Genomic DNA, 27,763 nt, shown 5'->3' on the forward strand with positions numbered 1-27,763 from the left:
TGAACTTTAAGCCCTAATGAATTATTAGCAATTATTTATTATTTTGAACCGGTTGCTTCTCCTGCTCCAAAAGATAGATGGTCAAGACTCGGTAGCATACTTTCCAAGATGTGCTTACCTCAACTGCTCTCCTTAATGCGTCTTCAGTCTGGCTTTATGGTATCCCACACAGCAAAAATAACCAAGATGGTCACCTCATCTGTCTCCCCAGATTTCAAAAGAAAAAAATTATGCCAGTCACCCTGCCTATCAGTGGGGTCATCTGGATGTAGCAACCTCATTCTGGGACTCCACATCACACTGATCGCGCACTTCCCCACAAGTGCTCTGCAATCATCCACCCTGAGCAAGCGAGGGCTCTGCCTCTGGAGATCCATTAAAGTGTGTGGGGTCCACATATTTAATGGAACACACTACATACATGGTAGTGTAGAGAAACAACTTTATAACCTAGTCATTTTCAATAAGAAAAATCAGTGCTAGCCTTTGCATTTAAAAGTGTGGAAAAATTTAAATCTATTTTAACTCACTAAGGTAATTAATAGTAAAACTAAATAATTGGCCAGAAAGAGTTGTTTTTCAACTAGAGCCTTTTAAAACAAAAAAGATGTTTGAAACATTTCTTTTTCTCCTACCCAAATGTTGAAATACTGTACTAATGCTTCAGAGAGTAACTATATTAATGAAACATCAACAAGTTACAGATAAACATTTTAATTGATTAAATATATTACTTTCAAGATCTTTTTGAAATCGCACTTGTACTGTACTAATCAACAGCCAAAGGCAATAAGAAAGTTTAAAACCAAAAATATTCTGACATGAACACATGACAGGAACCGCTGCTATGTAAAGTAACATACACTGCTCCCAAGAACAATGATATTTTTAGGAGATAATTCATCTTAACATGTGCAAGGACAAATTTGTAATCAAAGGCTGGAAGAAATATATATTAGTGCCTGCTTTTTAAAAGTTTATTTTACATTTTAAATACAGTATTTTTCTCATAAAAAAAAAATCCAGGAAGTGCCTAACTCCATGGTTTCTATACCATATGTACATGAAAGCTGACAGAGAGCCTGACAAATGTTCTGGATGTAACAGTATGAACACCTATGAGCTGGGACTACTTCTGAATCAAAATTAAAAAACACAAATTAAGCACTGCTTAAGAAAAAAAAAATCCAGTTTCTGAACAACCAAAAGAGAACAGAGTTAGATATGTACAAAACCAGGTATTAAAAAACAGAAAGAAATACAGCACACAAAAAACTCAAACAACCCATATGTAGTGAACTGTATATACTGCAGTTAATGAAAACCCTCCTACAAGAAGTGATTTAGGATTTGAAATTTTAAAAATCTAAGTACTTCAGTAACAACATACAATAACAACATTAAGTGTATATTGCCATCTTTGTCATTTTCTATCTATACCACTCTCCCTTCTGAAAACAAGAATCACTAGCCAATCACTTATACAAATTTGAGGCAATTAATCCATATTTGTTTTCAGTAAGGAAAAAAAGATGTACCTCTTCCCGTCAATAAAGAAATAACACAAATTAAAGCTATAAAATTTAAGCATGGGCATATGTATTTCCAATTCTCCTTAATAAGTAATTCCAAACTGGAATAATGTGGGGTTTGTGACTAAGTAGTAACAAATTAAAAGAAAATAGACTGTCTCTGGCAGTGATTTCCATATTAGTGCAATGTTACTTCCCATATGCTGAATTATATTTAAATGATTTTATGTATTTTAATTCAGTAGGTGCCAATTTGAGTTTATAAAATCCTTAATTTTATTCTTTGTGCAGAAAAGTTTCAATTTGAGATACTCTATGAAGCCAAAACAAAACAAAACAAAACAAAAAACCTGTATTTTGCTACTAGTAGTATGAATACCAAATAAAGATACAAGGATTCAAAGTTTGTGGAAGTTCCTGAAGAAAAATCTCTGAGGTGTTCTACGTATCTTGATACTTCAATTATCAATTAGTTTTGAACATTCTAGTTTAAGATTATCTCAGAAAATAATTCTCTGTAATATAACTCTGAACTAAACAGCTGCACCCAAAGCAGAAACAATCTGGGTCATTCTGAACGAGATCAAACTGAGGCCATTTCTTTTTCTATTATAATCTGTGAGGTGTTGAGTTTTTAAGTTTTAAAAATGGCCTTTAATCAAAGCCAGCTGCACCTGATATAGACTTGTTAACTTATGGATTTCAAATTAGAGGACACTGTAACTACGGGCTCTCATAAGACACATGGAGCAGGCAGCAAGGGGCTAACCATCAGCCGGGTAAGGTCAACGTTGGGGTGTTTTATTTTGGAGACTTTAAATATTTAACATGTAGCTCATGTAACTTCAGCATCCACTAGTGACTCTGCTGGTCAGCACCCAAGGGCTGGATGAGTCTGAGGAATCTCCTTTAACCCCAAAGTATGAATGCTAAAGAGTCTCAAGGAAATTTTGATTCCCAGCAAGAGTTCACAAACCATCAGACCAATATCAATAAGGTAAACTGTGACTCTAATGCTCCACAAAAGTAAAAAGAAATTTCCAAATTAAATGTCATCTTCTGCCCAACCCTAGACTCCAGACTTTGTAACAACATTTTTATCTAGTATAATAGACTCTGTAGTAGACTGATTTTGACCGCCACAAAGAGTAGGAGTTGTCAAACTTGAGGAGATAGACTCCTCTCCCTGGATATTGATGGCTGCCAGCATACACCTCCTCATGACAGTCCCGTCGGTACACAGGCACAATCTCATCCAGCAAAGGCTTGTTGGCATTCTTTTTGGCTTTCTCTTCACAACCGATGTTTTCTGTAAGAACAGAGACAAGTCAATGAACAGATTCAGGAAAACCACACTTGCATCAGGCAATTAAAATCTATCCTTTCTTTTTTTTCTGGAGACAGAGTCTTGCTCTGTCACCCAGGATGGAGTGCAGCGGCGTGATCTCAGCTCATTGCAACCTCCACCTCCTGGGTGCAAGCGATTCTCCTGCCTCAGCTTCCCAAGTAGCTGGGATTACAGGCGTGCACCACTACATCCAGGTAATTTTTGTATTTTTAGTAGACATGGACTTTCACCATGTTGGCCAGGATTGTCTCAATCTCCTGACCTTGTGACCCACCTGCCTCGGCCTCCCAAAGTGCTGGGATTACAGGCGTGAGCCACCGTGCCCAGCCTATCCTTTCTTTGAGAAACTGCTCTTGTTGGGAATTCTGTTGAACCATTTAACAAGTTATGTGCATGTGAGCATTTATTAGTTCGTTCATTCATTCATTCATTCACTCATTCATTCAAATACCTAAGTATGTGCTATACACCAAACCCTGTTCTGAGCCCTGGGAGCCCAGTGATGAACATCTAGTGGTAGCAGTGGTCAGCATCCTATCTCTTTCTGTGCTTACTACCATTCCTATTTCAAGGTCCCATTTTCCCCTTTCCATAGCCATTCAATTCCTAATTCATCCTCAGGAATTTCACTCATCTGAGTAACATGAAAATGTTGCTCTCATCATCCTCCTTCTGACCAATATGAGTCCTCCCCATTTTAGAAAGATGGAAGATGATTTGTGAGGACTATTGCTTTCTGTATATCTTAAATATAAGCAGTAAAATGAAAAAATCATAGTAGAGAGATAGGCATTCAGAGATACTCTGAAAATTCAATTATTTTCACTAGGCCAATTTAACCCAGAGATGATCTAAGTGGCAAAAAATGGGCTCTGAAAGGTTTGCCCCGGTTAAGAGTTTTTTGAACTGTAATGCTATGAGGTTAGGAAAAAAAATGCCTCTAGAAACCTACAGGAATGAGAAAATTATGAACCAGCTTCGAAGTCACAGTTTAACATATTTAATACAAACCAGCTCAAAGAGGTCAAGGGAGTATTCAGCACAGAAGACAAGACTTTCGGGTTTATGGTTGTTGTTTTTGTTTGTTTGTTTGTTTAAGAGACTGGGACTACAGGCATGGATTTTCAGGTTTATAACATGGCAGAGTGAATTCTGGCAACACACTGAGTGATGCTTGTCAATGGCCACTATCAGGAATTTAAAACAAGGTAAGTTTGAGAAATTCTCACCGTCTATAGCAGATTAAGGAGATATGATGACTGACTATAATGTGGCATCCTGGAAAGGATCTTGGAACATTAGGTAAAAACTAAAAACATCTGAATAAATATGGACTTTAGTTAATTAATGAATCAATGTATCAATATTGTTTCATTAGCTGTGATGAGTGCACCACAGTACAATGTAAGATGCTAACAACAGAGGGAACTTGGTGCAGGGTATATGGGTACTCTTTGTGCTATCTTTGTAACTTTTCTGTAAATCTAAAACTATTCTAAAATTAAAAGTTTATTTTAAAAAAGCAGATGGCACTCTTATAAAGGTAGGTCAAAACCAGATTTACTTAACCACAGAAATACCTATAATTAAGCATGTTTCACATGCAAATGAGAAATACAGAACCATCCAAAATGTACACTATTGTTGACATCCAAGAAATAGACTGGTCCATTGATTCAAGACTCAAATTTTGTTTTAAATCTATAAAACTAAAGATTACTGGGATAGATGAAAAGGCATCTTTTATGAATTTAAGCCAAGGTTTAGGACCTGTAAACAATGAAGAAAATGGAGAATTAAAACAGGAGGATGTGTTACCATCCATGCTTCTTCAGAGAAAGCAAACTCCTCTGTCTACCTTTCAAGACCTAAGGAAGAAAAACCAAACCAAAACCCAAAAAACTCAGACTCTTCTACCATATGAAATACAAGACACGGTAGGACAGTAGCTTCTAAGGCATATGGACAAATACAATTTGTGAGCTAAATCTTTAAATGGGATGAAGTGACGCTCATGTAATGAACAATTCTTAGGAATGATAAAGCTTCACTGCTGTGAGGCTAAAATGTTTTAGCTGCAAATCATTTTATGATTAGGAATGGTACAAGTACAGGGAATGCCATCTTTCATTTGAGGGACATATTAGAACTAAGATCAAGGATATTAAGGTTCTTACCTCTAGAAATGAACCCCTGCCATTTTCACTAGTGATCTTCCCAACACCAATATAACCCCAAAACTATCATCAGCTGAGGGTTCAGACTAGGCAGTAACCACCTTTTAGAAGCTCTCTAATAGGCAAGCCAGGAGAAATACATTACCTCAACCAACTTCTGAACAGAGAATTCTTATTCACAAAGCTCTTTCATTTTTTTTTTTTTTTGAGACGGAGTCTGGCTCTGTCGCCCAGGCTGGAGTGCAATGGCACGATCTCAGCTCACTGCAATCTCCACCTCCCGGGTTCAAGCGATTCTCCTGCCTCAGTCTCCCAAGTAGCTGGGATTACAGGCATGTGCCACCATGCCTGGCTAATTTTTGTACTTTTAGTAGAGATGGGGTTTCACCATGTTGGCCAGGCTGGTCTTGAACTCCTGACCTCAGGTGATTCACCCACCTCAGGCTCCCAAAGTGCTGGGATTACAGGTGTCAGCCACTGCGCCCAGCCATCTTTTTTTTTTTTTTTTTTTTTTTTTTTTTGAGATGGGGTCTGGCTCTGTGGCCCAGGCTGGAGTGAAGTGACTTGATCTCAGCTCACTGCAACCTCTACCTCCTGGGCTCAAGCAATTTTCCCACCTCAGCCTCCCAAGTAGCTGGGACTACAGGTGCACACCATCACACCCAGCTAGTTTTTTGTATTTTTGGTAGAGACAGGGTTTCATCATGTTGCCCAGGCTGGTCTTGAACTCCTGAGCTCTAGCAATCCATCCGCTTTGGCCTCCCAAAGTGCTGAGATTACAGGCAGGGGCCACCGTGCCTGGCCTCACAAAGCTCTTTGTAAGTACAGTAATTTGTATGCATACAAAAAACTTTCCTTCCCAGACATCTGCAGACAGTCTGACTTTAATGAGTCCCTGTGATGCAACAGAAAGGACAGAACAGGTTCTGATGTTGTTGAAGGTCACATGAGAAAACAGTAGTGCCCCCTGGCTAATCTGCTACAGTCCTGCTCTCTAACTGCTTTTTATTTTTTTTAATTTTTTTTTTTTTTTTTTAGAGGGAGGGCCTAGCTCTGTCGCTCGGGCTGGAATGCAGTGGTGTGATCATATAGCTCACTACAGCCTCGAATTCCTGGACTCAAGCAATCCTCTTGCCTCAGCCTCCCATGTACCTGGGACTACAGGTACATGCCACCACACCCACCTAACTAAAAAAAAATTTTTTTTGTCGAGATGTGGTGTCACTCTACAAAACGGGTTGCCCAGACTGGTCTTAAACTTCTGGCCTCAAGAGATCTTCCTTACTTGGCCTCCCCAAAAGCTGAGATTACAGTCATGAGATACCATGCCCAGACAGGCTTTTTCTTTTTTTTATTTTTGAGACGGAGTCTCGCTCTGTTGCCCAGGCTGGAGTGCAGTGGTGTGATCTCGGCTCACTGCAACCTCTGCCTCCCAGGTTCAAGTGATTCTCCTGCCTCAGCCTCCCGAGTAGCTGGGATTACAGGCACCCACCACCACGCTCGGCTAATTTTTATATTTTTAGTAGAGACAGGGCTTCACCATGTTGGCCAGACTGGTCTCGAACTCCTGACCTTGTGATCCACCCACCTCGGCCTCCCAAAGTGTTGGGATTACAGGCGTGAGCCACCGCGTCCGGCCCAGGCTTTTTCAATCTTACATTTTTTCTTTCTGTCTCAGTCAGTATTATTTATGAGCAATGCTTTGCCTTGCTGGTGGTACTCAGGAATAAAGACTGATGAAAACAAAATGCCGTGTAAGACAAAGCAGCTCATGCTTCCATATTTACCAGCTAGAATCTGGACCTGTGGTATAATGAAGGATTTTAAATCTGCTTCTGGGGTAAAAGTCAATCTGCAAGATGTACTGAAATTTCTGGGATACTCTGATGGTTCATGTAGATAATGATACGGAATTATCTTTGGATTATCTTTTGATTAGCATTAAATATTAACTGTTAAATTGAATATTAAACTTAATTTCAAGAAATGTATGGCACACCTGCAGTGTATGTTTCTGTAGATAGCCCCAGAGGCCCCAGGGTGTTGCATGGTATGGTAATATGATTGGACAACTCTGTACTTCACAAGTTGATAGAACTTTCAGGCTTATTCCATGTACTTTCAATAATATCTTTTTAACTTTATCCCACTGTAATCTGTAAAGCAACATTGCCAACCCTCTTCAAGAACAAGCAGTCTGTTTACAAGCCACCTGAAAGGTCAGTTAGTCTGGAAGAACTGAGACATGGTGCTTTTCCATTCTCACAGGGCATGCATTCCATATCACTTTCAATCAAGTCAACAAATAAATTAAGTGCTTATTAAGTGTATATAAACAAACCCTACATTCTAACTTTCCTGGGTAACAAAAATAAAGAGACCCTCTTCTCAAAAAGCAATACATTTATAACCTATTTCTTAGACCAAGATATTTTAGACTGTCCTTTAAAACACCCAATTTTGTCTACTTATTCAGAGGAAGTAAAAAAATTCCACTCTAGCAAAATAGGGATTTCCAAATGGAAAAATAATTGAAATTTTTTTAAGTGGACTATTCTGGTGAGTTTCTGTATTTACATAAAAAATTTTAGAATAATGACCTAAAATGCTAATATCAACAATATAAATTTAAATAAATGCCAGGGTTGACAGGAATTCTTACTTGCTCCTTTAAAATTTTTCAAAGTGGGTCGGGTGCTGTGGCTCACGCCTGTAATCCCAGCACTTTGGGAGGCCGAGGCGGGTGGATCACAAGGTCAGGAGTTCGAGACCAGCCTGACCAACATGGTGAAACCTCGTCTCTACTAAAAATACAAAAAATTAGCCGGGCACAGTGGTGCGTGCCTGTAATCCCAGCTACTCAGGAGGCTGAGGCAGGAGAATCGCTTGAACCTAAGAGGCCGAGACTACTGTGAGCAGAGATCATGCCACTGCACTCCAGCCTGGGTGACAGAGTGAGACTCTGTCTCAAAAAAAAAAAAATTTTTTTTGAAGTAATCTTGCATATTTGGCTTTTCAACACACACGGTTAGAAGTAAAATAGTATTCAGAAAGGAGTAAAATAGCAAATTGCCAAATAGATTTTCCTGGCATTCAGAAAAATTCAGGTTTAGGCCCCAGTCCCCTACAGGAGCCTGGCCTCATAACATTTTCAGCCCAAGGTCCCACTAATGAAGAAAGTGTTCCCTAACCATGAAGTGTTAGTCAGGAAGCATAAGGCTGGGTGACACCTGAACTATGTACCATTTCTGCCAACACACAACCCAGCAGCTACTGAATATGGACCAAGGGTTCTACCTTCTTCCTCCTCGTCGTCATCGCTGGACTCACTGACATGCACGCTGACAGCAGTGTTTGGAGAGTCTGTCCATTCAAAATACACCCCAAACCCAATGTCATAATTGTCTGTGGCAAATTCCCAAAAGAGATATGATCCTTCTTCATGGGTGGGTACTCGAACAGTGACCACTTCTCCTCGGCCCACTGTAATCACGGAATCTGCATCCTGCTGAATCTTCTCTTTGAAGTCTTTGATCTGAGGTCGTGTCCACATGGATGGAGCTGCTATTACTGGAAGAGATTCTAAAGGCAATAGGTATTAAAAAGCTAAAGAAAAAGAGCCTTCACCCTGCAGGTAGCCACATTTTCATAGCACTACCTGATCAGTTGTACTCAGGCACCAAGTACAATATGGTCTAGCTTAGATCAAGGACTTGGAGGAATAAAAAAGCCTCCCCATGGGAGTCTCTCCAGATTACTATGTTTAACAATGTTGCAGGCACTCAGAGGTCATCGTACTTCTTCAAGTAACAATGGCAGCCCACAATTTTAGAAACGAATTTTTTTCAACACTCCCTCTATGGGGATTCAAGAATGACCTTGGGAAGGCCCCAGCTGGAGTGAGGGAAATATTCTAGCAAGGAAGAGAGATTCTGGCTTTAGGAATAAATTACTCTTGTGGATGTGAACAAAGAAAGCTGGACTTTGACTTCAGCCTGTCTGTTGAAAAATTCTTCACCTCCAACTATCCCAAAGTTCTAGGGGCTATTCTAAAGGAGCTCAAAGAAACAAAAACTCGGACAGGATTAGAACCACTAGGGACTGAGAAAAAGGGGTAAAGTCTTGTTACTGAGCAGTACCTATGTGCACTTGACTATGCAATAAGTTTTTCAAAGTTAGTCACAGAGCCTTTGAAATATTTTCTCTCATTTGAAGATGCTAGTATAATCCCTTGATAAGAAAAAAAAAGGGAAGGGGGCAGTAAACCAAGGGATTTCAAAGCCTTTTCTGAAGCAATTATTACTTGTTCTAAACAGACAAGGAAGATCTCTGAAACCAAATTTCTTATGAACCATACCACCATCCCTGACCACTGTCACTGAAATGCTCTCCTCTTCCTCCTTACTTAGTTAACTCCTCTTGCTTCAGATATCTCAGGTCAATTGTCCCTTCCTCTGGGAAGCCTCTGGTGGCCTCTCTGACTAGGTCACACTTCCCTGTTTTACATTCTCTCAAAGATAATGTACCTCTCTCTCCATCACCGTACTTATCACAGCTACAATCTACATTTTCTGTGTGTTATTTTGCCTCACCACTGTACTCCTAGCACTCAGGAAACCTTCAACTAATTGCTGAATGAACAAATGAGCTGCCCATGGAAAGCTAGTAGAGCTTTGAAAATGCAGTTATTTTCTAGGCAACATGATACATTAGTCTCAAAAATATATCTATTTCTATGGTAGCCAGCCTCCAAGATGGTCCCCAGAGATTCTCACCTCTGGGTCTTCATGCACTTGTGAGGTCACCACCCACAATATATAAGGATTGGTATGTGTGACCAACAGAATATGGTGGGAGTTCCAAAGTCAAGGCATAAAAGACACTGCCACTTCTGCTAGGGGAAGCCAGTAACTGTTTTGAGGACCCTCAAGAAGCCCTATGGAGAGGCTTCATGGGGCCAGGAATTGAGCTTCCAGCCAAAAGCCAGCCATGTGAGGGAACCATTTTGGAAGCAGATCTTCTAGTCCTGGCATCAACATCTTGACTGCAATCTCATGAGGGAGCCTAAGTCAGAGCCATTCAGCTAAACTGCTCCTGAAACCCTGACCCACTGAAGCTGTACAAGATAGTAATAAATGTTTATTGTTATTTCAAGCTACTAAATTTAGGTGTAATTAATTTTTGTTTGTTTTTTTTTTGAGAGACAGTCTTGCTTTGTCACCCAGGCAGGCGGAATCATAGTTCACTGCAGCCTCAAACTCTTGGGCTCAAGTGATCTTCCTGCCTCAGCCTCCCAGAGTGCTGGGATTACAGGTATGAGCCACTGCGCCCAGCCTGTAATTTGTTATGCAGCAATAGATAATTTATATATATATATATGACAAAACATAACTTTTGTCTTAAAAGTGTCCAAAGACATCTGATTTGCTCTTCTACACTGGTCTATGAGTCACCAGAGCATTAGATTCAGACTAAAAAGAGTAAAAAAATGTTCAACTCTCACAAATATGTAATTGTTCTCAAAAGCTAATTATAACCTGACTTCATGACTTTTGCCTTTCACAGATTTGGAATTATGACATCTGGACAAACACATATGCAAAACCTACCTTTTGGTCCATTCTCCAGGGCTTCTTCTGCAGCTTCTGGTTCCAGTTCTTTTTCGGAGCTGTCAGTGTGTGTTTTGGCCTGTCCATTAACTGACATCATATTACTTGGTACAGTTGCATTCACTTTTGATGATGTAGGCAAGGAAGACCCAGCCACTACTACTTCCTGTTGTTTCTGTAATGCTGCCTACAAACCAAGAGAAAGTGAAGACACACTGACCAGGAAGGCTAGCAAATAAGACATCTGCCCTGGAGTACATCTGATACCATGCTTTTGCCCTACCAAAGTGCTATGCTCAAGAAATTACTAATAAATTTTTATCAGTTTTTATCCTGTCTATAATGAATATTATTAGTACAATATCAAACTGACAGCTAAAAATAATAAAAAATCAATAAAAATTAATGTGGACAAAAACCTGCAACTAAGGCTCACATTTCTGTGATCTGAGAATCACCATAAAAACTAACCAGGAAAAATGAAAGTAAGGCCAGCCAAAGTGGCTCACACCTGTAATCCCAGCACTTTGAGAGGCGGAGGTGGGTGGATCATTTGAGGTCAGGAGCTCAAGACCAGCCTGACCAACATGGTGAAACCCCGTCTCTACTAAAAATACAAAATTAGCTGGGCATGGCAGCACACGCCTGTAATCCCAGCTACTTGGGAGGCTGAGGCAGGAGAATCGCTTGAACTCGGGAGGCGGAGGTTGCAGTGACCTGAGATCGTGCCATTGCATTCCAGCCTGAGCAACAAAAGCGAAACTCCATCTCAAAAAAAAAAAAAAAAAGTAGAAATAATCAACCCAAAATAAAACTATTAAAGGCAAAAATTGAACACAGTAATGTGCTCTTGAAATTGATGGAAGAAAAAAATCTTGATAAACTTTAAATACACAAAATTTGAATTAGAAAAATTAAACTTGGTGGGAATAGTCACAGAAGAAAATTCACAAAGGCAGAAGCTATAATTGGCAAAATCTGGTATGGGCCCCCAAAGCAATAAAAAAATCAAATATGGACAATTTATTCTAACATAATTGACCCCAAAAAGTCAATAAATTAAAACTTCAGGGAAAAATTATGATCACAATGAAATTGAAAATTGTTAATCGTGTTGTAAAATGCTGACCTAAGAATCAAACAGACTTACAGGATGCAATTTGAGGTTAAAAATATTTTCTCAATGAAAATTTGTCACTGTTTATATAGTTATGATTGAAATGTGTATTCATAAATATAAAATCAAAATGTCCTCTGAGTCAAAATGGCAGTAAAAACATCTTAAATCCAAAGGACTATTTTGGGACATTCCTCTTCTAAATCAATATGGACAGATACTACTTCAAATATCTGAGTATTACTTAGGTAACTTTGGTGGGGAACTATAAATTGAATTACAACATACATGTAGAAAGTGTACAAATGATAAATTACACAGCTTGATCAATTTTCATAAATCAAACACATCCATGTAACTAATACTCAGATCAAGACAGTATCTGCATCCAGAATATTCCCTGGTACCCCTTTCTGGGCACCTGCCCTGAAGGGTAACAACTATTTGACTTATAACACTATAGATTTGCTTTGCCTATTTTAAAACTTTAAAGAAATGGGTTGTATAGTATACATTCTTTTTTATGTCTGGCTACCTTCACTCAACATTACTTTTATAAGCTACATCTATAGAGTCACAAGTAATTGTATTTTGTTGTTTGCATTACTTTTAAGTTATTCCATCATAAAAAGATAAAATCTATCCATTCTACTGTTGATGAGCATTTGGGCATGTAAGCAATGTTTTAAACTAAAACACTGTCACAAATAAGCAAGTACGTATATGTTCACTGCAGGAAAAAAAATACACACACGCACACATACACACACACACGGAAAAAGCCTTTATGATCCCATGGGGTAGGGATAATGATATATTTTGGCATATCTCTACACACATTTCATTGAATGTATCATTTACAAGCCAATTACTTAAATGAATAGCAATGCTTCTCTTTGCTGCTAATATAGGTTAATAACACAATTAAGATTTTAAGATATCTTCTTCCAAGGTCTGGATTTTCAGTAATTTCCACATCAATTTTCTAGAAGGGATACTAGCTTCCAGAGAAAGTACCTAAAATCAAAACAAGTCAGCACACTCAGAACATTCACTGCATGACAGGAAAGCAAAAGAGCATTTTTGATGATCAATAGGCCCAGCTCAAATGGTCCCTCATCTCCACTAATCCTTTCTTGAAAGGCTCTAGCAGAAAAACAACTTTCTCTGGGAACCCCCGACCATGAATCTATTGTACTACATGTAATAGATTGTAATGATATATTTCCATACTCTCTTCCTGTTATTAGGAAGTTTAAAAAAGCACAGAAAGGTATAAAAGCAACGTATCAAACACCCACAAATGTATCTACACCCCAAAATTAACAAATGTGTTCATTTTGCTATTTATATAAAAATTAATATTTTATAGGAGTAAAGTTCCCTTTGTTCCTTCCCCAGTCTCTTTCCTTTTCTCTTCTCAGAAGCAACCAATAAATTTGATAAACTGAGTTTGATCACTCTAATCTCAATTATGGATTTTTTTTTTTTTTGAGACGGAGTTTCTCTTTTGTTGCCCAGGCTGGAGTGCAATGGCACAATCTTGGCTCACCGAAACCTCCCCCTCCTGGGTTCAAGTGATTCTCCTGCTTCAGCCTCACGAGTAGCTGAGATTACAGATGTGTACCAACATGCCAGGCTAATTTTGTATTTTTAATAGAGATGGGGTTTCTCCATATTGGTCAGGCTGTTCTCGAACTCCCAACCTCAAGTGATCCACCCACCTCAGCCTCCCAAAGTGCTGGGATTACAGGCATGTGCCACCACACCTGGCCTATGGCTTTTTTTTTCCTCGAGACAGGGTCTCACTCTGTCACCCAGGCTGGAATGTAGTGGCGCCATCACAGCTCACTATAGCCTCAAACTCCTGAGCTCGAGTGATCCTCTCGCCTCAGCCTCCCAAGTAACTGGGACTACAGGCGTGCACCACCATGCCCAGCTAATTTTTTTTTTCTTTTTTAAGAGATGGGGTCTCCCTATGTTGCCCAGGCTGGTCTCAAATTCCTGGCCTCAAGCAACCATTATGGCCTTGGCTTCCCCAGGTGCTGGGATTAAAGGCATGAGCCACTATGCCCAGCCTCCATTATGGCTTTCTAGTTTTGTTTCAAAGATTTGCGGTTTTGTCCTATTTGACTTTCTTCTCATTAAATGATAGCAACCTATAAACAGGACAGAGTGTATGTGCTATTAAAAATCATCTCACTGCCTATCAAAGAAGCAGGAAAATGGAAGTGAAACTAAAGTAGAAACAGGCTTCAGAGGAGAGAGAATAAATCTCTCAAAAATACCACTTATTATCTTGAATAAACTCTGGTTTGGCATCTTTTCCTCCTCTTCAGGATTACAAAAAACTTGCAGTGCTTTTTAACTTCTAACTGATGCCAAAGACTCAGGAGAAAAGGTTGTTTAGTAAGAATACACATTTTCAAGGAATTTAAAGAGTTTGGCAAAAACAACAAAGATTATTTCATGCAGTAAGAAATGCTGAGCAACTATAATGTAACACTTTTCTTCACTCAGATTTTTTGACAGGTGGTAACTGCTTTATAAGTGAAAATTAAGTAAGTTAAACTAAGCTACGTTAAGTTTAAGGAGGTATTTTATGCCTGCACAAGATGTAAAAAATGAATGTAAAATTAGTGTCTTCTACAAGTACAAAAATCGTTCACAGGGTAACTCTTTTCTCATTTGACTCCTCTGATAGTCCTGTGAGGTTAACAGGACAGGTGCTTTGATTTTATATCCTATTGTTACGGACTGAAAGAAAGAGCAGAACAATCAGAGCAGTAATAACTTGTCTGAGATCAAACAAGGTAATGTCAAAGCCCAAAGAGAATCCAAGTGTTATGAGACTCCCAGTCCCATGTTCTTTCACCTAAACCAACCTCTCCTATGTGGAAGCAAAATACTTGGGGGCAGGCAGTTGGAGGAGGAATAGCAATGTGCTGTTATGAGCACTGCCTAACTATGGTGCCTAACACAAAGTCAAATGGACCCAATCTAGCTCTGCAGAACCAGCCCATGGTCTTAGGGCAGGGGAGTCCTCCCACTGGAGGCTGTCCAAGCCTCTGACAATGCACTGCCTGAAGGACATCTCTGAACTATGGCTAGTTACTCAGGTCCTCATGTTCCAGGACCACTATTAGGGTCTATGCCAGACTCACAGTAAAGACACTCAACCCATACAACTCCCAAATACCCTTATGACAATATAACATCATCGGTTGCTTCGATAACACATATTTTCTCTCACAATTGCCTGTGCAATTCTCAAGTCTGCCTAAAAGATCACCCAAAAGTTACTTTACACCTTAGAGGCTAACTAATGCAAAATTCATTTGCGACTGTTAAAAAAGAACTTGGGTTCCAATGAAACTAAAAACTCTCTCTAAGGCTGAATTCTAGGGTTGTCTATCGTACCTGTTGCTGTGCAAGCTGGACTTGATACAACTGCTGCATGTACTGCTGATAGTGTTGCTCCTGCAACTGGCGGATGAGAATTTGCTGCTGTTCGTAGTTCCCTGGATACTGTTGGGCTGCATACTGCTGGAACTGCACGGCAGTCTGGGAGTTTAAAGCTGCCATTATCTGCTGCCTAAAAACATTAAAAATATATATACTAGTCTGGCTACAGGAGATTGTTCATGACAAAATAAAATGTCCTTATTACTTACTTTTACAGTCTGTAACTCTTAAAAACAACTAAGCTAGTAATGTACACCAATTAGTATGTGTTCTGGGTCCAGAAGAAAGATTTAAGAAAATAAGCCTGGCCTCTAATTTTTTACTTAGGATTTTCCAGGAAAATTCGGGATGGAAGATAAGCATATGATCATCATCATCATGACCACCATCATAATTATTAACATTTATTGTGCCCTTACTATGTGCCATGCAGTGTTGAAAGTACTCACACATACTAACCCATTTAGTCCTCACAACAACCCTCTGACAGAGGGTTCAGTAACTTGCCCAAGACTATACTGCTAGCAGATGCTACAGCCTGATGCAAATCCAGGCAGTTTGGCTCTAGAGCTACACTAATTTACCACGATGCTTTAAGATGATGGATTGTCATCTCTGACATAGATGAGGTATTTAACTGTTGGCTATGGCTTCTGTACCTAAATACATAAAAAACAGTAAGAGGCAGAAGAATAGCTGGAAGATGTTACAGGTGGCCCTGGTAAGTATAAATAAAGCCAGTGAAAAATTAAGGGTCCACAGCATTTAATTTAAAGCCTGTCTTAATAGAGGAAATACTGAAAATATCTTGGCATGCTTAGTTTAGAGATACTCATATTCTTTTATAGATAAACCACATGCTTCTTCTTTTTTTTTTTTTTGAGACGGAGTTTCACTCTGTCACCCATGCTGGAGTGCAGTGGCGTGATCTCAGCTCACTGCAACCTCCACTTCCTAGGTTCAAGCGATTCTCCTGCCTCAGCCTCCCAAGTAGCTGGGATTACAGGCACCTGCTACCACGCCTGGCTAATCTTTATATTTTTAGTAAAGACGGTTTCACCATGTTGGCCAGGCTCGTTTCAAACCCCTGACCTCAATCAAGTGATCCGCCCGCCTCGGCCTCCCAAAGTGCTGGGATTACAGGCATGAGCCACCACAGCCAGCAACCACATGCTTCTTAACTTACTTATGTGACCAACTTAACAGAGACCTCAAAGCCATCTATTAATAGATAACAAAGCAAAGCCTCACAAACTCCTACATACAGCACAACATTCGATCCACCTAGGACAACCTCCCCCAAAAAAGAGCTGCATTCATAGTCTTTCTCCAAAGTTGAATGAGGGCCTGGATTAGTTTGAGGCTAGCACTAAACCTTTTTCTGAGGAACTACCCAGAAATAATGAGAAGAAATCAATGGACTCTCATGTTCTCTGGTTTAACCTACAAGCCATGCCACCCCTACAAACTCAGACTTACTTCCCAGTGTTTTATGGGTGTTAATCACTGCCTCCTTGTACCCACAGCTCCCTCTTGAAGAACCTGTCAGTCTCTGAGTCTCAAAGCCCTTACTGAGTAAGCAATAGTTGAAGCCTCCAAATCTTGTACTAAGGACTATAAATGGATATCTGACATAGACTGGACCAACAAGATTCTCTGTCCTGGGAAACTGCAACTGGGTCTCACAGATTCCAGCCAGTCTCTGTCAGATGCATGGAAACATAGACCAAATAAATCCTCGGACAGCCTTGCATATGCCAAAGCAGACAGTTGACAATTTGCAGAGAGCAAGGATGAAGCAGAGACATAAGCTGAGAGAAGCAGAGACAAGAAACAGAGAGCGCAACCAAGCAACCTCAGCTCCTGCTTCCAATCTCTGGGTTCTGCAAGTGAACCCCCAAACCTTCTAATACATTCCTTTTTTTTTTTGAGACGGAGTTTCACTCATTACCCAGGCTGGAGTGCAATGGCGCGATCTCGGCTCACTGCAACCTCCACCTCCTGGGTTCAAGAGATTCTCCTGCCTCAGCCTCCTGAGTAGGTGGGATTACAGGCATATGCCACTGCGCCCAGCTAATTTTTTGTATTTTTAATAGAAACAGGGTTTCACTGTGTTAGCCAGGATAGTCTCCATCTCCCAACCTCAGGTGATCTCCCAACCTCAGGTGATCTGCCCGCCTCCGCCTCCCAAAGTGCTGGGATTACAGGCGTGAACCACCACACCTGGCCCGCTCATTTCTTATTTTTATTCTATTTTTTTTCCATTTCTCATTTTAAAACATAAGCCACATAATAAACTTACTTTTGCTGCTCCAACCGAAGCCTTTCTTCTTCTATCCGTCTCCTTTCCTCTTCCTCCCGTCGAAGCCTTTCCTCTTCTTCTCTCCTACGTTTCTCTTCCTCCTTTTGCAGACGTTCTCTTTCTTCCTCTTCACGCCGCCTTCGCTCCTCTTCCTCCTTCCTACAAGGCAAAGATAGAGAATGAACCCTATACGTTGAATCCTGTTTAAAAATAAAACTTTAGCTCCCAGGGAAAACTGACATGACCTTTTTAGAGAACAATGTGGATATATACATCAAAATTTAAAATACATACACTTTACTAGCAGAAACTTATAGGGAATCAATCGCACAATATACAAATCACATCAAGAATAATTATTGTTGCACAGCAACAGAAATGTGTCCATCATAAGAAACTACTTAAGTCATTATGATATTCCTATACCCTGAAGGATCCCCTCTAATATATGCTCACAGCACTAAAAGCTTTTCCTTCATAATACCTGCTGTCATTATAATTAAATTTGTGTGATACATTCAGCAATAGATCTGCATTACCCATTAAACTAGATGCTCCATAGGGGAAGAGACTGCCTATCTCACACCACGACATCCTCAGGGCTTAGCACAGTGCTGGAAAGAACAAGCACTCGACAAACGTGTACAGAAGTAAAAAATCCACCCTGAAATATCGCAGAGCCAAAGGATAGAAATACATTGCCTAATATGTAAAGACATGTAATACACTTGCTTAATGAAAAAAAAAAAGGTGAATACAAAGGAAAAGATCTGGAAGGACATACCCTAAATTTATCAGTTATTATCTATGCAGAGGAGAGTGGAATTAAAAGAAATGTGGGAAAAAAGATTTTTTTCAGTTTGTGTTTCATATACTGCCATAAATGAAAATTTTATATTGCATATATTTGTGTATTATTTCTGAAATTAAAATTTTTTGTAAAGCTTTTAATTTAAAAAAGAACGGTTAACCTCTCAGGGCAGCCCTTGCCCAGCTTTCACCCACCCCACAAGACCCTTCCAAAAAGAACAGATCCTATTGTGCTAGGAATGGACATCTTCCGGGTCTGAGAGTGGTATGGTGTTCAGGGAGCCTGCAGACAGGATGAAAGGGAAGATTTCTAAGGAGTATCAGATAAGACACTATTTCATAAACCTACCACGAGAATTGTCTGGGCTACCTCACCTTTCTCCCCTCTAACTCCTATAAGTGATTAACAACTACCTGAGCCACAGCCAAGTCTCAAAATATTGTAATAACATGACCTATTTTTTTTTTTTTTTTGAGACAGGGTCTCACTCTGTCACCCAGACTGGAGTGCAGTGGCACATTCTTGGCTCACTGCAACCTCCGCCTCCCAGGCTCAAATGATCCTCCCACCTTAGCCTCCTGAGTAGCTGGAATTACAGGGACCTGTAACCACATCCGGCTAATTTTTGTATTTTTTTTTTGTAGAGATGGGGTTTTGCCACGTTGCCCAGGCTGGTCCTGAACTCTTGGACTCAAGTGATCTGCCCGCCTCGTTCTCCCCAAGTGCTGAGATTACAGATGTGAGCCACCACAGGCGTGAGCCACTGCACCCGGCCATGACCTACTTTTAATGTGTCACAGCTGGTACAGAGCAAGAAGGTTCACAAGCCAGAGCTTAAGCTTCAGGATAGATGAAGTCTACTCTTAAACACTTTAAAATAATTCTATGTGGACTTTATCCCATGACAAAAGTATATTTTTAAAACGAAAACGCAGCTCTATATGTTGAGTAGTAACTTTTGACAATGCTTAAGAGAAATATGCATATATATCATTAAAATAAGAACTTAAAAAGCAATATATAGATACTTCTACAGACACCCTAGCGATACCTGATTGATCCAACATCACTACACAATGGACTGTAGGACATAAATCAATTTTCCAGTTAAAGAAATCTCATTCTTTTCTCATAAGAATCAAAACCTTTCCTTTAGATTAAAAAAAAAAATTTCTTTGGATAAATATCTTCTGAAAATGTAATCAAGCAATTTCCTATTATCTTAAATAGGAATAAATCATATCTAATGTTCCATCTCTTGATAACTCAGGGGTTACAGCTGTAAACATAAAAATTGTACATCATACTATTGTAATGGAGAAGTTTACCTTCATATTAAATGACCCCTGACTGCCATGCTTTTATAATTCTCGTGTCTATTTTTCATGCTTTCTATTATGTCCCTAATTATCAAGCTATTTTCTCTTCTAATCTGTTATTTCTAATCCAGGTTAAGGTAGGAAACCAGAGAATCAATTGTTTTTAAAGAATAACATCGGCTGGGCAAGGTGGCTCATGCCTGTAATCCCAGCACTTTGGGAGGACCAGGCGGGTGGATCACCTGAGGTCAGGAGTTTGAGACCAGCCTGGCCAACATAGTAAAACCTCATCTCTACTAAAAACACAAAAATTAGCTGGGTTGGTGGCAGGCACCTGTAATCCCTCTCCCAGCTACTCGGGAGGCTGAGGCAGGAGAACTGCTTGAACCCAGGAGGCAGAGGATTGTGTCACTGCACTCCGGCCTGAGCAATAGCAACAGAGCAAGACTCCATCTTAAAAAAAAAAAAAAAAAAAAAAAAAAAGTATAACATAACCTGAAGAAAAATTGGTTTTGTAGCATCATTTTCATCACCTAAAATTTTAGATAGTCAAAATTGATGAAAATATAGCCACTAGAAAAATAAGGTGTAACTATAATTCTAATTCACAACTACAACAGAGAATCCCATAAGCATAAACAGCACATTCAGTAGCTCCTCCTCCAAAACTTGAAAATAATCAATAAGCCAGCTGGAAGCCAAAGCCAACATGAATGTCTATATAAGGTAGCATAGTTGCAAACCATGAAATGGAGCATGAGGATTCTAGAAGCTCGAGGGAGACTGCAACAAAGGGTATGTCAGACCAGAGGATAGGGAGGAGGGAGTGGTTGAGTTTATGGTGGGGCTTATTCAGAAACTTAGTGTAATAAAACAAAAGGAAGGCTGCCATGATGGATGGGAGGTTCCTTTTAAAGGCACGGCCAGTAGGAAGCAGTCCTCCCTCCCCCCAAAACTTATAATACAAGTACCTGTTCACATCAGGAAGTTTGAACAATTGCCACAAGAAATGGGGATCCAAGGAAAGCAAGACACCTGATCTAGAACTAGAACAGACACTCTACAAAACAAAAGCATCAGTACACTGGGCTGCGCAGCAATAAAGTATTCCATGCCCTCAAACTTCACCTTTTTTTTTCTTGCTCTTCCTTCTCTATTTTGTGGGACGCAACATATGTTGAAAAGAGATGGCAACACCTATTTAAGAGCTTGACAAACTCCACCATGGCATCCTCTTTAGACATGTTTCCCAGGGCTGCCCATTCTCTCCTGTAAGGAATAACAAGAAAAGTTACCTCCCCTTCTTAGTAGAATGAGAACTTTTAAATTTAAACCTAAATATGAATAATTCTCAATTGTAAGTAAAATGAATGATTCTATTGGGAGCAAAAGGCTCAAAACTTCAAGTTTTAACAAGTATGTATTGATTTACTAAATTAGATACGCCACATACAATCCAAACAACTGCATTGCTGATGATTCCCATATAGCAAAAGAGTATCAATTTTTCTTTTTTCTTTTTTTTTTTGAGATAGGATCTCACTCTGTTGCCCAGACTGGAGTGCACTGGTGCGATCTTGGCTCAGCAGAACCTCTGCCTCCCAGGCTCAAGCGATTCTCCTGCTTCAGCCTCCCGAGTAGGTAGGATTACAGGCATGTGCCACTACCGCCGGCTAATTTTTTAATTTTTAGTAGAGATGGGGTTTTACTATGTTGGCCAGGCTGGTCTTGAACTCCTGACCTCAAATGATCTACCCACCTCGGCCTCCCAAAGTGCCGGGATTACAGGCATGAACTGCCGCACCTGGCCTATTTTTCTTATATAATATTTGAGCCTTAATTAAACAAAAATACTCAATGTATTCTTTTTTTGTCACAATTTTTTTTATGCCTCAATAAGGGAATCAATTACTATATATTTTAAATGGCTACTTTTAATATTATTTGGGAAGAATCAAATGAAGCTCTACTTGTCTTATGTTCATAAGCAGATGAATACAGTTCTTCCACAATATTTAACCATAAACATCTCTAAGCTAAAAACAGATAAATATCTGAAGACTCCAGAAGCTGCAAGCAAAAATGTTCAGTTCTTATCCTAAGCTAATGAACCAGCTACTTACACCTTAACCAATACACATTGTACCCTTTGCCAACATTATCCTCATTAAATTCACTATACAGAAAAACACTGTTACCTCCTGTCATTCCCCAACACATCAAAGAATCCAACCTCAGGACAAGTGTCTGGATTATATGGGCCCATAAGAACTTGCTTATGCAGTGCCACAAGCTTCAATTTTTCTTCATAAGTTGGATGAAATGCTTTGCCATCTTTTTCTATAAGAAAAAGAAACACAAAGAAAACAATTAGCACAGGCAAAATACATAATTTTCAGCATTATATACTAAAGCTTTGCTACAAAGCATGTCACAAACTGCCTGTAATAGACACAAACACTAATAGTGAAATTTTTATTTCAATTACTACTTTTAAAAAATTTTTTTATTTTTAGACAGAGTCTCACTCTGTTGCCCAGGCTGGAGTGCAATGGTGTGATGAAGGCTCACTGAAGCCTTGACCTCCGGGACTCAAATGACCCTCCCACCTCAGCCCCCCAAGTAGCTGGACTACACGTGCGTGCCACCAAACCTGTCTTTTGGCAGAGACAGGGCTGCCCAGGCTGGTCTCGAACTTTTGGGCTCAAGCAAGCCTCTCGTCTTGGCCTCCTTTTCAAAACTGCTGGGATTTGAGCCAGCATGCCCAGCCCAATTACTACATTTTATTAATAACAGAACCTAAGACGGAAATCCGGTATGCTGATTTTTTTTTTTTTTTTTTTGAGACAAGGTCTCGCTCTATTGCCCAGGCTGGAATGCAGTGGCACAATCACAGCTCACTGCAGCCTCAACCTGCTGAGCTTAAGTGATCCTCCCACCTCAGTCACCCAACTACCTGGGACTACAGGAGTATGCGCCATCATACGTGGAAAATGTTTTTATTTTTGTAGAGACAAGGTCTCACTATGTTGCCCAGGCTGGTCTCGGACTCCTGAGCTCAAGTGATTCTCCCGTCTCAGTATCCCAAAGTGCTGGCATTACAAGTGTGGACCACCATGCCTACCCTGAATTAGGTTGTAAAAATAAGCCAACTATCAATACTTATGCTAAAGCTACTACAGAAAAACCCATCTGTCAAGCTGCAGTCAGGCTACAGCCTTGACCTCCCAGGCTTAAGCAATCCTTCTGCCTCAGCCTCCCGAGAAGCTGGGACTACAGGCATGTGCCACCACATCTGGTTAATTTTTTACTTTTTGCAGAGACGATGTCTTACAATGTTGCCCAGACTGGTCTTGAACCCTGGGTTCAAGCAATCCTCCTGCCTCAGCCTCCCAAAGTGCTGGGATTACAGGTGTGAGCCACCATGCCCAGCCCAACAATCGGTTTTTAAAATAGCTTTTAAAAATAATTTTTAGCCAAAAGAGAAAAGAAAAACTTAAAATAATTTTACATTAGTCCCTTTTAACATGATCATGCATAGAAGATTATGTACACTTTGAAAGGCTGTATTCAAAAATGTATCCATCCCACTAAGGTAGTATAATGTGGTGGAAAAGGCTTTGGAATTGGATGGCCTGGGTTTAAATCTCAGCTGAGACACTTCCTAGCTATGTGACTATTTAACCTCTCAGTTTATTCATCAATAAAGAAAGGGTTACCCTTCAGAGGTTGCTACTTCAGAGGTAATAGGATTATTATTATTACTAACTTATTAATGCTTTTCTTTCCTTCACCTGATTGGCTCTGGTAGGTTTCCATATAGGCAATTAAGAGTGCGACCAGTTTGACCAATAAAGACTAACTGCTACCAACATTTAAAAGCCGTATGAAATTGGGTTCTGGTAAAATGGGAAATATTCAGAGAACAGTTCCACTTCTTTGATAAATGGTAGCACTAACTACTGGTTGATTCCAATGACAACAGACTACCAAATTTAAAGAAAACGGGGAGGGCACTTGAAAGTAGCATATGCTACTTATATGTCTCATTCATGTATATAGTGGTGAAATAAAATCACTAATAAGTGAGAAGAATATGGGTTAAAGAACAGCAGGAAACTCAGAGAAGAAAAAATATAGAAGCTGCCAATAAACATCCAAAAAGATATTCAACCCCACTAGTCAAGAAATATAAATTAAAAGCATTAGATACCAAGACCCCCACCTCCCATCAGATAAACAAAAAAGTTAGATAACATCTAAAGTTATTAAGATCCTACAAACAGGTACCCATTCTCATATATGAATGCTGAAAGTATAAACTGTTATAGTTACCTTGAAGGTCAATTTGGCAATACACAATAGTCCTTATCTTATCCCCCAGTGGATGTTTAAGACTGCAGATAATATTGAACCCTACATATATTATGTTTTTCCTAAATGTACATACCTGTAATTTATAAATTAGATACAATAAGAGATTAACAATAAAATACTGTATTATATTTGTATATTGTAATTATATAACAATATACAACAACAAGTTATGTGAATGTGGGATCTCTGTCTCTCTCAAAATATCTGAATGTATTCTACTCACCTATTTTCAGACCTTGATTAACCCCGGGTATCTGAAAGAAGGGAAAGCAAAACCATGGACAAGGAGAGACTCCTGTATTTCAAAACTATAAATGTGTATGCCCTATGATCCAGTCATTCCAGTTCTCATTACATATGCTTGACAAGCACTCTCAAATATATAAAAGGAGGCAGATACAAGGACATTCATTGCAGCACTATTTTCTTGTTACTGGAAATAACTTAAAAGGTTATCAATAAGGGAAAGTCGAAACAACATGGTACAGTCATGCTCTGCATAATGGCATTTCAGTAAAGGACAGATTGTTTATATGAGTGTAGTCCCATAAGATTATTATAATGGAGCTGAAATTTTCCTATGGCCTAGTGGTGTGGTAGCCACCATAACATGATGCAACATATAACTCAAGTATTTACGATGATGCTGGCGTTAAACTAACCTACTGTGCTGCCAGCTGTATAAAAGTATATATAGCACATACAACACATAATACTTGATGACATTAATCATCAAATACTTGATAAGGATATTAATCACCAAAAGTTTTCTTACACTACGTCACAGGTAATTATTAGAGAAACACAGCCCAGAACAACTTCCTTCTCACTTTTTATTTGAGACGGAGTCTCGCTCTGTTGCCCAGGCTGGAGTGCAGTGAGTGGCACAATCTCGACTCACTGCAGCTTCCGTCTCTTGGGTTCAAGTGATTCTCCTGCCTCAGCCTCCCAAGTAGCTAGGACTACAGGTGTGCGCCACCATACCCGGCTAGTTTTTATATTTTTAGCAGAGATGGGGTTTCACCATGTTAGCCAGGCTGGTCTCCAACTTCTGACCTCAGGTGATCCACCCATCTCAGCCTCCCAAAGTATTGAGATTACAGGCGTGAGCCACTGTGCCCACCCCCTTCTCGCTTTTAACAAATGGCGATAATTTGAAAAATAGCTCCAGCTCCTGATCTTAGCCTTGTGATTTAGAGAGTTTTTTTTTATTTTTATTTTTTTTCTCGAGACAGAGTCTCGCTCTGTCACCCAGGCTGGAGTGCCGTGGTGCGATCTCGGCTCACTGCAAGCTCTGCCTCCCGGGTTCACGCCATTCTCCTGCCTCAGCCTCCCGAGTAGCTGGGACTACAAGCGCCCGCCACCATGCTCGGCTAATTTTTTTTGTATTTTTAGTAGAGACGGGGTTTCACTGTGTTAGCCAGGATGGTCTCGATCTCCTGACCTCGTGATCTGCCCGCCTCGGCCTCCCAAAGTGCTGGGATTACAGGCATGAGCCACCGCGCCTGGACTGCCTGGCTATTTTTTTTTTTTTTTTTTTTTTTTGGGATTTTTAGTAGAGATGGGGTTTCACTGCTTTAGCCAGGATGGTCTCGATCTCCTGACCTCGTGATCGGCCTGCCTCGGCCTCCCAAAGTGCTAGCATTACAGGCGTGAGCCGAGTTTTTGTTTTTTAAAACAAAAAAAAAAAAGGGCATTAAGCAGCCGGGCACAGTGGCTCACACCTGTAATCCCAGCACTTTGGGAGGCCAAGGCAGATGGATCACCTGAGGTCAAGAGTTCGAGATCAGTCTGGCCAACATGGCAAAACCCTCTCTCTACTAAAAATACAAAAACTAGCTGGGTGTGGTGGTACAGCACATCTGTAATCCCAGCTACTCAGGGAGCTGAGGCAGGAGAATCGCTTGAACGAGATGGAGGTTGCAGCGAGCCTAAATCATACCACTGCACTCCAGCCTAAGAAACAGAGCGAGATTCCATCTCAAAAAAAAAAAAAAAAAAAAGACATTAACCTGTGTCATTTTATCTTGAGCCTATAAAAGAACATATGCTGCCAATGATTCAAGAAAAAAAGATGTGGTGGGCCTGAGACTGAGAGTGCATTTTTCCTTTCCTTTTTTTTTTTGGTTTTTTTTTTTGAGACGGAGTCTCACTCTGTCACCCAGGCTGGAGTGCAGTGGCATGATCTCGGTTCACTGCAAGCTCTGCCTCCTGGGTTCACGCCATTCTCCTGCCTCAGCCTCCCGAGTAGCTGGGACTGCAGGCGCCCGCCACCACGCCCAGCTAATTTTTTGAATTTTTTTTTTTTTTTTTTTTTTAGTAGAGACGGGGTTTCACCATGTTACCCAGGATGATCTCGATCTCCTGACCTCGTGATCTGCCCACCTGGGCCTCCCAAAGTGCTGAGATTACAGACGTGAGCCACCGTGCTCGGCCTTTCTTTTTTTAAGAATAAACTCAATTAAGTAGTTTTATCTAAATAAATGTCAGTAAAGATAAAATCACATGGAAACTATTCACCTGAAGACAACTTTTCTGATTAGTCATGCAAAACAGCAATTTCGAACATACACACACACAAAATTTTTTTTTGCTGCAGGAAGATGATTTGAACTAATAGATGGGGCAAGTGGATATGAAAAAAATTTTTTGAAATCCCTGACTATTGCTATAAAGTTATCTGTAAAATACTGCTATTTGGGTTTTCTACTAATGGAGGGAGGGTTCATTTCCTACCAGATGATACGTTTGCTTCTTTTTGAGACAGGTTCTCACTCTGTCACCCAGGCTGGAGGGCAGTGGCACGATCACAGCTCACTGCAGCCTTGAACTCCTGGGCTCAAGGGATTCTCCCACCTCAGCCTCCTGAGTAGCTGGAACTACTGGTGAGTGCCACTATGCCCAGTTAATTTTTGTGTTTTTGTAGACAGAGGGTTTTGCCATGTTACCCAGGTTGGTCTCGAGCTCCTGGCTTCAAGTAATCAATCGCCCTAGGCTTCCAAAGTGCTGGGATTATAGACACGAGCCACCATGCCTGGCCAACTTGTCTCTTTATTTCAAGCATTTGATAATGTGAACTAGGCGCAGGGTCTTTGAGGGATGGTAAGTAAACAATTTTTTTTTTTTCTGAGACAGACTCTCGCTCTGTCACCCAGGCTGGAGTGTGGTGGCACAATCTCGGCTCACTGCAACCTCCATCTCCCTGGTTCAAGGGATTCTCCTGCCTCAGCCTCCCAAGTAGCTGGAATTACAGGCATGCACCACCACGCCTGGCTACTTTTTGTACTTTTTAGTAGGGACGAGGTTTTACCATGTTGGCCAGGCTGGTCTCGAACTCCTGATCTCAGGTGATCCACCCACCTTGGCCTCCCAAAATGCTGGGATTACAGGTGTGAGCCACTGTGCCTGGTCGAGTTTCAGTACTTTTGGATGTTATTTTAACGTCTGCCCTTTTTACACCTGACAGAATTAAAAATACAGTGCAAACTTAAAAAGTATATTTATTTATTTATTATTTTGAGATGAAGTCTTGCTCTGTTACCCACGATGGAGCACAGTGGCGTGATCTCGGCTCACTGCAACTTCTGCCTCCCGGGCTCAAGCGATTCTTGTGCCTCAGCCTCCTGAGTAGCTGGGACTACAGGTGTGCGCCACCGTGCCTGGCTAATTTTTGTATTTTTCACAGAGATGGGGTTTCACCATGTTG

General features: G+C 40.3%; 1 protein-coding gene, 1 long non-coding RNA gene and 1 pseudogene across 3 annotated transcripts in view, besides 1 other annotated feature; 1 reads left to right on the forward strand and 2 right to left on the reverse strand.

The window, feature by feature from the left end:
* Positions 699-2,627, reverse strand: LOC124904586 (uncharacterized; annotated as a pseudogene). The gene is made up of 2 exons (XR_007067022.1): positions 2,615-2,627; positions 699-2,264 (listed from the first exon to the last, which is right to left on the reverse strand). The product of XR_007067022.1 is annotated as an uncharacterized LOC124904586 (transcript).
* ACBD3 (acyl-CoA binding domain containing 3) overlaps positions 699-27,763 on the reverse strand; it is a 42,063-nt gene continuing 14,998 nt past the window's right edge. Inside the window, exons 2-8 of the mRNA NM_022735.4 lie at positions 21,879-22,020; positions 20,809-20,949; positions 17,551-17,709; positions 15,204-15,378; positions 10,667-10,853; positions 8,355-8,639; positions 699-2,841 (exon numbers count right to left, since the gene is read on the reverse strand). Of these exons, the coding sequence (NP_073572.2) occupies positions 2,630-2,841; positions 8,355-8,639; positions 10,667-10,853; positions 15,204-15,378; positions 17,551-17,709; positions 20,809-20,949; positions 21,879-22,020 (1,301 nt within the window). The 3' untranslated portion in view covers positions 699-2,629. The remainder of the gene's footprint in view (positions 2,842-8,354; positions 8,640-10,666; positions 10,854-15,203; positions 15,379-17,550; positions 17,710-20,808; positions 20,950-21,878; positions 22,021-27,763) is intronic.
* On the forward strand, positions 4,023-10,997 carry ACBD3-AS1 (ACBD3 antisense RNA 1). The gene is made up of 2 exons (NR_146443.1): positions 4,023-4,088; positions 10,623-10,997. It is a non-coding gene; the product is annotated as an ACBD3 antisense RNA 1 (long non-coding RNA).
* Positions 19,873-20,042: an enhancer, noted in NCBI's record as "experimental_5830 CRE fragment used in MPRA reporter constructs". NCBI's record gives its function as "activates a minimal promoter by MPRAs in K562 erythroleukemia cells, with activity observed for both the introgressed and non-introgressed 1:226351639 variant alleles {active_cell/tissue: K562}" and the evidence as "EXISTENCE:reporter gene assay evidence [ECO:0000049][PMID:34662402]".

This window comes from Homo sapiens, chromosome 1 (genome assembly GCF_000001405.40).
Source record: "Homo sapiens chromosome 1, GRCh38.p14 Primary Assembly".
Lineage (NCBI taxonomy): Eukaryota > Metazoa > Chordata > Mammalia > Primates > Hominidae > Homo > Homo sapiens.